The 12,348-nt window shown below is 47.4% G+C and overlaps 2 annotated features.

Moving 5' to 3' along the window:
* Nucleotides 4,580-5,779: an enhancer, noted in NCBI's record as "P300/CBP strongly-dependent group 1 enhancer chr20:49056367-49057566 (GRCh37/hg19 assembly coordinates)". NCBI's record gives its function as "activates an origin of replication core promoter dependent on BRD2, BRD4, P300/CBP, MED14 and CDK7 cofactors, with strong dependence on P300/CBP, by STARR-seq in HCT116 cells {active_cell/tissue: HCT116}" and the evidence as "EXISTENCE:reporter gene assay evidence [ECO:0000049][PMID:35650434]".
* Nucleotides 9,683-9,977: a silencer, noted in NCBI's record as "tiled region #10608; K562 Repressive non-DNase unmatched - State 7:EnhWF". NCBI's record gives its function as "represses a minimal TATA promoter and a strong SV40 promoter by Sharpr-MPRA in K562 cells {active_cell/tissue: K562}" and the evidence as "EXISTENCE:reporter gene assay evidence [ECO:0000049][PMID:27701403]".

Raw genomic sequence — 12,348 nt, 5'->3', positions numbered from 1 at the left:
AAGCAGTGTAAAAGGCCATGTCGTGCAAAATATCTTCCTTCTCATTTCCTCTGACATTTCCCAGTTCCCCTCTTCAGAAGCACCTCTTGTTGCCAGTTGTTAGTGTGTCCTTTTAGAGATATAAACAAATATCTGTCTCTCTCTCCCCGCTTCTCTCTCCAGTTGTCCCTGGTATCCTTGGGGATTGATTCTAGGACCTTCCACAGATATCACAATCTTTAGATGCTTGAGTCCCTTATGTAAAATAAAGTAACATTTGTATATAACTTAGGCACATCCCCCTGTACACTTCAAATCATCTCTAGATTATTTATAATATGTAATGCAATGTAAATCCAATGTAAATAGTGGTTTTAATGTATTGTTTAGTGAATAATGACAAGAAAAAGTCTGTACATGCTTAGTACAGACACATTTCTTCTTTGAATATATATATATATATATTTTTTTTTTTTTTTTTGAGACAGTCTTACTCGGTCACCCAGGCTGGAGTGCAGTGGCAAGCTCTCGGCTCACTGCAACCTCTGCCTCCCAGGTTCAAGTGATTCTCCTGCCTGAGCCTCCTGAATAGCTGGGATTACAGGCGTGTGCCACCACACTGACTAATTTTTTATATTTTTGGTAGAGATGGGGTTTCACCATGTTGGCCAAGCTGGTCTCGAACTCCTAACCTCAGGTGATCCACCACTTTGGTCTCCCAAAGTGCTGGGATTACGGGCATGAGCCACTGTGCCCGGCCTCTTTGATTTTTTTTTTTTTTTTTTTAGACAGAGTCTCGCTCTGTAGCCCAGGCTGGAGCTCGGCTCACTGCAACCTCTGCCTCCCGGGTCCCGGTTCAAGCAATTCTCCTGCCTCAGCCTCCCAAGTAGCTGAAATTACAGGCACATGCCACCGTGTATTTTTAGTAGAGACGGGGTTTCACCATGTTGCCCAGGCTGGTCTTGAACCCCTGACCTCATGATCCACCAGCATCGGCCTCCCAAAGTGCTGGGATTACAGCCACCACGCCCAGCGTCTTTGAATGTTTTTGATCCATGACTGGTTGAATCTACGGATGGGTGGAACCCATGGGTATGGAGAGCCAGCTGTACACACACAGACACACACACACACACACACACGCACGTGCACACACGCACGTGTAGCATGCCTCTCTATACTTCTGGTGTTTCTCTACAATTTTGTTATGCATCAGAGGTTTATAGATGGATTGGCAAATTATCGTCCTCAAGCCAAATCTGTCTCACTATTCTGTATGGCCTGCAAGCTACGAATGGTTTTTACTTTTTTTTTTTGACACAGAATTTCACTCCTGTTACCAAGGCTGGAGTACAATGGCGCAATCTGGGCTCACTGCAACCTCCCCTTCCTGGGTTCAAGTGATTCTCCTGCCTCAGCCTCACAAGTAGCTGGGATTACAGGCATGCACCCCAACACCCAGCTAATTTTTTGTATTTAGTAGAGACGGGGTTTCACCATGTTGGTCAGGCTGGTCTCAAACTCCTGAACTCAGGAGATCCACCCACCTCAGCCTCCCAAAGTGCTGGGATTACAGGCATGAGCCACCATGCCCGGCTGGTTTTTACATTTTTAAATGATTTTTAAAATTTGAAAGAAAGGCCAGGCACGGTGTCTCATGCCTATAGTCTCAACACTTTGGAAGGCTGAGGCGGGCAGATCACTTGAGCCTAGCAGTTTGAGCCCAGCCTGGGCAACATAAGGAGACTCCATCTCTACAAAAAATACAAAAATTGGCTGGGGGTGGTGGCACATGCCTATAGTCCCAGCTACACAGGAGGCTGAGGCAGGAGGATCACCTGAGCCCAGGGAGGTTGAGGCTGCAGTGAGCTGTGATGGTACAGCTGCACTCTGGCCTGGGTGACAGAGTGAGACCCCGTCTCAAAACAAAACAAAATTGAGGCCAGGTGTAGTGGCTCACACCTGTAATCCCAGCGCTTTAGGAGGCCGAGGCAGGCAAATCACTTGAGGTCAGGAGTTTGAGACCAGCCCGGCCAACATGGCGAAACCCTGTCTCTACTAAAAATGCAAAAATTAGCTGGGTGTGGTGGCTGCATGCCTATAGTCCCAGCTACTCGGGAGGCTGAAGCACGAGAATTACTTGAACCCAGGAGGCGGAGGTTGCAGTGAGCCAAGATCACGCCACTGCACTCCAGCCTGTGATACACAGTGAGACTCTGTCTCAAAAAAAAAAAAAAAAGAAAGAAGAATGCTTTATGACACACAAAAATTATATGCAATGTACATCTGTGTCCATAGATAAAGTTTTATTGATACACAGCCCAGCTGCTTTGTGCGCTATCTATGATTGCTTTCATGCCACGATGGCAGAGCTGAGCAGCTGCAACAGAGACAGTACGGCTTGCAATGCCCAAAGGATTTTCTATGCAGCCCTTTACAGAAAAAGTCTGCAGATATGGTTCTGTACCTCGCACATATTGTTCTGTACCTTGCTGTTCTCGCATCACGATAGATCCCAGGCGCCTTTTGCTATCGGCACATATTGAGCTACTTTATTTCTTTGAACAAAGGCTCTGACATATGTCCCTGTGTCACTGGGCCATTATTTATCCAGTTCTCATGACGGACTCCCAAACTCTTGTTTAAACGAAAAGATTTCATGTCTTAGGAACGTTTGAAAATTCCTCACAAGGACAAGAAATCTCAAGGAGTCATTCTGTTTATTATTTATATCTTGTTCTCTCAGAAATCGGATTTGTGGTGGCTTTCCAGAGGAGGGACAGACCCAATAAAACCCCATAAAACCATGAAGACAGAGGTGAAATACCAGGAAAGGCTTGGACTCGAGATGCCTGTCCTTCCCAGCTGAGGAAGCCTGGATTATATTTGAGCTCAAGGCTTTATTTGAATCATATTTGCAGATGATGCAAAAATCTTTGTGGGTGTTTATTTTCCTCAAGAGGGAGTTTGAAGGCAGAACGCCTCTGAGAAGTTGGAAAAAAGGCCAAGCAGGATAACATAGAACAGCGTTTCCTATCCTTACATTTGCCAAATCTTGAAGCAAATGATCTATTATTTACTTAATATTTTCTTTAACTTTTTTTTTTGCAAAAAACCTTAAATATAGTTGTTTTATAGTTGTTGTGGTTCTGATTGATGAGATAGCCATATATATGGTTTTGGTTCTTTTTTTTTCCTGAGACAGAGTCTCGCTTTGTCACCCAGGCTGGAGTGCAGTAGCACGATCTGGACTCATTCCACCCCCACCTCACAGGTTCAAGTGATTCTCCTGCCTCAACCTCCTGAGTAGCTGGAACTACAGACACCACCACCACGCCTGGCTAATTTTTGTATTTTTAGTAGAGATGGGTTTTCATCATGTTGGCCGGGCTGGTCTCGAACTCCTGACCTCAAGTGATCCGCCAGTCTTGGTCTCCCAAAGTGCTAGAATTACAGGTGTGAGCCACCACACCTGGCCTATATGTTTTTTTCAAATGCATTTAAATACTTAATAAATACTAAAATTATTTAAAAACACGCAACCACAACTTCATGTACCACCTACAATCATATTGCAAATCAACGTGGGTGTCTGTGCTAAACATTTTTAAATGCTGGGGTATCAGACACTGCGGGTTGCCTTGTCAACTGCCATTCCCCTCTCCTTTCCTGCTGAGAAAACCCTGACTTTCTGCAGCTGGCCATGTGCCTAGTCCTAGGGGAAAAACTGCATTTGCTTTACCCAGTCATAGCCACCCTGTTCTCCTGGACCTGCGATTGGCTCAGAGGTGGTCACGTGACCCAGTTTTGTCCAAAGGGAAACTAATCTGGGGGCTTCTGGGAAAGAGTTTACTCTATGACAAGAAAGAGGCACATAAAGAGAAACCTATTTGCCCCTTTCCTTCTCTGCCTGCTTTGGACATTGTTGTGTGAAGAGGTGATGCGTGAGCTGTGGCAGCCATCTGTGATGTGAAGACCAGACTGAGGACAAGTTGCTGACTTGCTGTTGACGGAGGAGAGGGAAAGTGCAAAGACTGTGGGTCCTTTATGACAACCTTAAGATGACAAATACACCATGAGGTCTCCAGTCTGTCCAGAAGTCTTTTAAACAAACAGTAAATGTAATTAGAGTCTAAACTGCTGTAGTGGAGCCTCTGAAGCTAGCTTAACAGACTCAACTGGCTTTGTGTTTTCGAGCTGCACTCCAGGGTCCAACACACTCATGTTCATATTCCAGCTCCACCAAATACTCCTGGCTCTGTTACCCAAGGAAAGTGACTTCACTTTTCTAAGCCCTTGTTTTCCAATCCATAAAACTGCAATAGTAATACTAGTTATCTCAGACAATGGCTTTTGAGAAACAACTTTTAAATTTATATAGAGCATTTAGAATATAGTAAGTGCTAACTGCTATCATCATCATCATGTCTTTAGTATTCATACAGTCCTTTTAAAATAGGGGGAAAGACAACATGGACAGAGACAGGAAGACAGGAAGTTGACAGCACCTAATTAAAGGTCACTAGCCAGGCACAAGATGAGCAGAAAATGATCTGAGTGTCAGAGCTGACCACAAGCTGCAGATGAATCAGCTTTGCAGTGAACAAGCTCCACGCAAGCCTGGAAGGCTGGATGACAAGCATGATAGGCGGACTCCTGGCTGTGAACCTTCTGTTCCGTGATGCATGACTCACACCTTTCCAGGAGCACTGGGTTTACATGTGGTTATCTCATCGTTTTAAAGGATGTGGGGAAGCTGTCCTGGGTCCAAAGGCATGGAGACAGTGACCCAGGGGCGATTTACGTAAGAGGCTGGAAAGATTCAGGGGCAAGGTCATCATCATCACTGCCTCCATGGGAAGTGTTTAATTTACAAAGCAGCTGTTGGCCATGCATACAGCAGCCCGAATGAAAGGAACGGACCACGAGGTTGTCTTGAGCGGAAAGAGCACTGGGTAGTGAGTCAGTAAACTCATGACTCCACCACGTGACACTGGGGAAGTTTTCTCTGCATTCCAGACCTCAGTATCTCCACGTGTGTGGTGGGAATCCAGAGCAACCTATGGTCCTGAGGAGGAGTGACAGGTAGAAATGCATTCAGCTGCAAGTAACTGGAAATCCACCTGACTGCCGCTCAGACCTGAAAGGGTTTATTTATAGCACCAAATAAAAAGTTCAGAGGGAGGCAATTCTCCATTCTTGTGCCTCAGCCTCCCCAGTAGCTGGGATTACAGGTGCATGCCACCACGCCCAGCAAATTTCTGTGTTTTTAGTAGAGACAGGGTTTTGCCATGTTGCCCAGGCTGGCCTTGAACTCCTGACCTCAACCGATCCACCTGCCTCAGACTCCCAAAGTGCTGGGATTACAGGTGTGAGCCACTGCACCCAGCCCTCAACTCCCAGATTTTACATGGATGTCTCATGGTCTGCTTTTGCCATAGCTGTTTGTTTTCCAGCCTGGAAACAGCTATACATCCACTTGTATAGTCAGGGTCTTTTGGTTGAAAGTGACAGAAACAAACCCAACTCAAAGTGACTTAAGAAAAAAAATAGTGTGTGTTTCTGTGAATGTTTTGGTTCATTTAAATGAAAAGACCTTCAGCTTCAGGAATGGCTGGATCCAGGTGTGCATCTGTTGTTTAGGAATCATGCTGTTTCCACTTCTTGGTTCTGTTTTCCTCCGTGTCAGTTAGGGTCACCTTATGTGGTGGCAAAAATAGTCCCCAGTATCCCCCAGCTTCCATTCTGCCAGATCGACAAGCCAAGTGAGCAGAAGCTGACTTTCTGTGTAGCCTCAGCACATGTCTAGGGGTTGACTGTGATTGGCCAGACTTGGGTCACATACCCATCTCAGACCAATCCCTGGGGCCGGGGGGATGGAATATGCTGACTTCCCAGGCCTCATTCATCCACCTCCTCTGGTTGGGGAGGCACATGGAGTGATAGTGGTGGAAGGGTGCTGTTACCGGAACATGGGGGAGGAACATTGGTCAGGTACAAACAGCAGCTGGCCATGGAACCAGCCTCTTGCCTGTCCTGCTGTATCTACTTCAAGACCTCCTTTGGACTTGCCTAGTACTCGATACATGCTTGTCAGTGAAAGAGCGATGCTACAAGTAGACGCAGGAAGGGCATGGTCTCAGGAACAATTTCCCAGGAGTAGTCAGGCAGCTTCTGATTTTTCACATCCTGCCCATTTTCCTTCTAATCTCATAGGCTGGCATCCATTCAGACTGCCAAGCCTCAGTGGCAGAGGGTGGCTGCTTCATGGGCTGTGTACCACGGTGGGCACCCGCCCACTGCAGGCCTGGGCAGAGGAAGGGTGAATCAAGAGTGGCTCACTCGGTCCTGTGGAAAGTGCACAGGAGGCTCCCACTGGGGAGATGATGAGCAGGAGCTGACACAGGCGGGTGTCACCCTCCTCTTTGCTCCTCATTGGCCACTCCTGCAGGCCACACTTTCACCCGGTTCTCTTTCTCACCAGGAACTTCCAAAGAATCCCCTTCATGCCTGAGTCATTGCTCAGGTGCCTGCGGGGACTGGCTGGCTGATGCTACAGAGGGAGGCAGTCTCAGGGGACCGACAGGCTCGGGCACACACGCTTTATCTATGGAGGCACCTGGAACTCACTGCAGCCATCATGGTCCTGTAAAAATGTGGGAGCCATGTAGCCAAACCTTCTGAATTTTTAAAACATATACTTTATTTTATTTTTTTTTAGATGGAGTCTCGCTCTGTTGCCCAGGATGGAGTGCAGTGGCGCCATCTCAGCTCACTGCAACCTCCACCTCCCAGGTTCAAGCAATTCTCTTGCCTCAGCCCCTGCTAGTAGCTGTCATTACAGGTGCGCACCACCAAGCACGGCTAATTTTTGTATTTTTAGTAGAGACCATGTTGGCCAGGCTGGTTTTGAACTCCCGACCTCAAGTGATCCACCTGTCGTGGCCTCCCAAAGTGCCGGGGTTACAGGTGTGAGCACTACACCCGGCCAAAAGTAAGTTTTATTTATTATTTTTTTGTGTGTGAAGTAAGAGCAAGTTTATTAAGAAAATAAAGGAATAAAAGAATGGCTACTCCATAGACAGAGCAGCCCCGAGGGCTGCTGATTGCCTTTTTTTTTTTTTTGGTGATAGAGTTTTGCTCTTATTGCCCAAGGCTGGAGTACAGTGGCGAGATCTTGGCTCACCACAACCTCCACCTCCCGGGTTCAAGCGATTCTTCTGCCTCAGCCTCCCCAGTAACTGGGATTACAGGCATATGCCACCACGCCCAGCTAATTTTGTATTTATAGTAGAGACAGGGTTTCTTCATGTTGGTCAGGCTGGTCTTGAACACCCGACCTCAGGTGATCTGCCTGCCTTGGCCTCCCAAAGTGCTGGGATTACAGGCATGAGCCACTGCGCCCGGCCTGGTTGCTCATTTTTATGGTTATTTCTTGATCATATGCTAAACAAGGGGTAGATTATTCATGCCTTCCCATTTTAGACCATATAGGGTAACTTCCTGACATTGCCATGGCATTAGTAAACTGTCATGGTGCTAATGGGAGTGTAGCAGTGAAGATGACCAGAGGTCACTCTCGTGGCCATTTTGGTTTTGGTGGGTTTGGCCAGCTCCTTTACTGCAGTCTGTTTTATCAGCAAGGTCTTTATGACCTGTACTTTGTGCTGACCTCTTATCTCATCCTGTGACTTAGGATGCCTTTATTATTTATTTATTTATTTATTTTTTTGAGACAGAGTCTCTCGCTCTGTAGCCCAGGCTGGAGTGCAGTGGTGCAATCTCAGCTCACTGCAAGCTCCGCCTCCTGGGTTCACACCATTCTCCTGCCTCAGCCTCCCGAGTAGCTGGGACTACAGCTGGCTGCCACCACGCCCGGCTAATTTTTTGTATTTTTAGTGGAGATGGGGTTTCACTGTGTTAGCCAGGATGATCTCAATCTCCTGACCTCGTGATCCGCCCGCCTCGGCCTCCCAAAGTGCTGGGATTACAGGCGTGAGCCACTGCGCCCGGCCAAATGCCTTTATTTTTAAAAGAAACTTTAGGCTCACAGCAAAATGGAGAGAAAGGTACAGAGATGTTTTACCTACCCCCTCCCCCGACACAGGCACAGCCTCCACTATTATCAACATTGCCCACCAGGGTGGTACATTTGATACAATTGATGAACTACATGGATGCATCATTGTCACTCAAGGTCCATAATTTGCTTTAGGGCTCACTCTTGGTGTTGTACATCCTATGGGTTTGGACAAATGTGTAATGACAGGAATCCACCATTGTCATCATATCACTGCCCTAGAAAGTCCTCTATGCCCTACCTAGACATCTCTTCCTCCCTCTCACTCCCGGAAGCCACCTATCTTTTTATTGTCTCCATGGTTTTGCATTTTCCAGATCTGATATTTTTTATGGCGTCTTTTTGCAGTAGCCATTGGCTTCTGCTATCCCACCAGCAGCCACTCTGAATGGTCGATGCCCAGGCCAGTCTGGTTAAATATTTTGAATACTATTCCTGGAAATATCCGTTTCTTTACATACTGATGATAAATTCTAATTTTACAAAAACGTCACGCAGGCCAAATCAAACATTCTACAGGCTGCATTTGGCCCATGGGCCACCAGTTTGAGACATCAGATGTGGGAATTAAGAAAGAAGCTGGAGTCTAGAAGTCCTATTTCAGCTCTGCCACTTCCTAGCTGTGTGACCTTGGGCGGGTCACTTTGCCTCTCTGAGCCTGTCAAGTGAAGGCCTTGAGCATGGGATTACGGGGACGTGATTATTAGCGCTTCCTCAGCGCCAATCTGAGGCCTGATGTCGTGGCATATTCAGAAGCCTCCCAGGATGGCAGTATGCCCTACAAACCAAAACATACAAGACTTGCTCTTATAAAATTAGGAGGCAACAACAACAAAACATCAAAAAATCCCCAGAAACATACAGGTTCTTAGGCTAGAGAGAAACGAGAGATCGGCAGATTGAGACTTGCTGCCTGCTTGCCTGGGCAAAGGGAGAACCAATTTCTCTACATCTCAGAAACCCTCTGTTACTTTAGTCTCCTTGACAAGGACCAGCGCTGACCCAGGGTCAGGAGCCCAGCTCCGGAGCCAGGCAGTCTGGGATCTAATCCCAGTTCTGCCAAGTACTAGCTGTGTGGCCTTGGGTGAAAAACTTAACCTGTCTGTGTTTTACAGCCTCAGGGCTGCTGTTCATGTCATGGTCTGTGTGATTGGGGCCCCCTGGAGCTGGGCAGTGCATGGCTATTCCTGGTGGCTCTGAGGTCCTTGTCCAGGAAGTGGGAATAATGTCTGTGAGGATTAAATGAGTGAACGCATACAATATGCTTGAGGCAGTGCTTGGCACAAGGCAATGGCTGACTGGGCAGAGTGGTGTTTGTTCTGCTCTGTGCCACACGTGTTGCCTGCACCCGGCACTGCTGGGCTGCAAGTGTCCCACTTTAAAGAAGAGAACACTGAGGCTCAGAGAAGAAAATCATGGTTCAGAGAGGGTCAGTAACTTACCCAGGGTCACCCGGCTAGTAAATGGCAGGTAACAACAACAGCAAAAACAAGAACACAAAAGCGATCATGTAACAAGACGGGAAACAGCTAATACCAACTTGGCACCGCTAGCTGCCACGTGCTGGGTCCACGGCTTTAAGCACATGACCTCGGAGTCTGGCTCCAACATCCGTGCTCTGCTCCTCTCAGCCTGCCCTAGGTGGGCGCATCTCCCGCTGCCCTAAACTCCACTTGGAACCTGAGAGAGGGTCGGCTCCGGCAGGCCCGTGAGCACGAGCATGGCTCTCTGAGTCTAGCTCTTCGGGTTCATGGATCGCTTCCCAGTGGGACACCCTGGCCCTGTGACCAGAGCCTCACCCCTCACTCCCCTTTTATCCTTGGATTTCAAAGCACTTTACACTCACACACTAATTAGAGAAGACACCTTCCTGTGCTCCAGAGAGGCAGGTATTTTTAATTAACTGCTCTTGCGAGTCTGCAGGGCATGGGGCTGCAAACTCTAATTCTAGGATATTGGCTCACAGAATGCGATCCAGGGCGTCTTTGACTGCCACTTCCTCAGAGGCCCTCCCGGACTACCTGATCCAAAGTCGACCCCCCACCCTCATCTCATGCACCTGCCCGGTTCCTGGGTACTACCTGTGTCACGGTTTTGTTTTTGTTTTTTGAGACAGGGTCTTTCTCTGTTGCAGTGGTGCAGTCTTGCTCACTGCAACCTCTGCCTCCCAGGCTCAAGTGGTCCTCTGGCCTCGGCCTCCCATCTCAGCCTCCTGAGTAGCTGGGATTACAGGCATGAGCCACCATGCCTGGCCTTTTTTTTTTTTTTTTAATGTGTATTTATTTGCATATTGACTTACAATAATAACAGCAGCTATATTTATAGAACAGCCACTGTGTGCTGGGCCTGCACTCTGATCATATTATCCTCCTGGGGCACAGAGAGGTTAAGGAACATCTTCAAGGTCACACAGCAGGTGAGGAAGCTGTATTTTTTTTGGCTCGCTTGTTCACTTGTGTGTGCTTAGTGTTTGTCTTCCACAGGAGAAAGTCTCTTGTTCATTGCTGTGTCATTGCAGTGCCTAGAACAGTGCCTGGCACCTAGTAGGCACTCAATAAATACTTGTCGATGGGGTGAATTTGGAATCCTGCACTCAGCTTGCGTCAGAGCCCAAGTCTTTGTGTAAACATAGACAACTCCTTCTGTGCCTCAGGGAGAAGGAAAACCACAACGTGGCTCTTTCCTAATTCTCTGCTCTTTTACACCTCCAGCTTTTGCTCAAGTGACTTCCTTTGCTTGCTTTCTCCTTTTCCATTGTTTAGCTCAGAGGTCAGTAAACTATGGCCTGGGGGCCAAATCTGGCTCAGCGTGTGGTTTTTGTCAATAAAGTTTTATTGGAACACAGCCACATCTATTTCAGTTTTATCTATGGCTGCTTTAGATCTGTAATCATAGTTGTGACAGGAACTCATGAAGCATAAATATTTACTATCTAGCCCTTTACAGAAAAGGTTTTTGACCCTGCTCTAGCTGACTTTACCCTTTAAGAATGAGTGAAAAGGCCTCCTCCTCCAGGAAGGATTCTGTGATTTCCCAGGCTGGGTTAAGGGGTCTTGTTAGGAGTTCCCATAGCCCTATGTTTCCCTCTAACATGGAGTTTCTCTCACCTCTAGGAGCCTGTCTAGACATCTTTCCCTGATCGCCCAACCCCCTCCCCTCATGAAATTTTTTTAATTGACAAAAACTTGCATATATTTTTTAACTGGACAAATAAAAATTGTATATATTTATTTGCATAAATTTATAACTTTTGGTGGGGTGTGGTGGCTCACATCTAGTAACCCCAGCACTTTGGGAGGCCGAGGCGGGTGGATCACCTGAGGTCAGGAGTTCGAGACCAGCCTGGCCAACATGGAGAAACGCTGTCTCAGCACACACACACACACACACACACACACACACACACACAAATGAAGAATTCCCTGACAGGTATCTAACTGTGACCCTCCTGCCATGACATCCTGGGGTCAAAAACTCAAAAGGCTTTAGGAGCCCGGTAGGAAATGCAAATGGAGTGGGACCAATTCTACTGTGGCCCTGCAGGGGAGGGGAGGGGAGGCTTGAGCGTCCAGCTGGAGCCTTTTTCTGACTGCTGGGAGGGACAAAACACGAGCCCGGAACTGGGAGGCCGAGAGATAAAACCTGGCTCCATCCCAGCACTTCATATAGAACCCACTAGGTGACTGGGCCTGGCTTTGGCTGTTGTCAGACTAGTGGTGGCGGCGGGGTGGTGGCGGTTAAATTTTCTATGGGAGGACACATTGTCATACAATTGGCATAGCTGCTCCCTTCTTTCTTGAACTCAGGAAATTATAGCTCTGTGCTAATGGTGATCACATTGGTAGAGGGTGATTAATTAAATTATTAACAACAAAAAGGAGCTACTCTGAATGTCTTTTCTGATCTCTTTTGGTGGGAAATCCAGGGAATTCTTCACTTATTGTGTATGTGTATGTGTGTGTGTGTTCATGCCAAGTGTGTTTCTACACAGCATCTCAGTGGCGTATTCTGGAAAGCAAGCATCAACAGTGTACTGTAAGAGGAGGCTGTGCAAGGGCAACTGAAACTTTGGGACTAAATGTTGGCCCACTCTTTGGTGAGTGTCTGTCCTCCCCACCAGATTGGGAGCTCCAGGGGCACAGCAACTTGCCTGCTTTGTTCTCCATGTATCCGTGAGCTGGACACATAATAGGTTCAAAAATATTAAGGAAAACCTTCGGCTACAGCTGGCTTGTCCCCTGCACAGTCCTGGTGTGTCCTCTGGGATCCTCTGGACATTTCCATGTGCT

Source organism: Homo sapiens, chromosome 20 (genome assembly GCF_000001405.40).
Source record: "Homo sapiens chromosome 20, GRCh38.p14 Primary Assembly".
Taxonomy (NCBI): Eukaryota; Metazoa; Chordata; class Mammalia; order Primates; family Hominidae; genus Homo; species Homo sapiens.
This window is presented reverse-complemented; position numbering and strand designations above follow the sequence as displayed.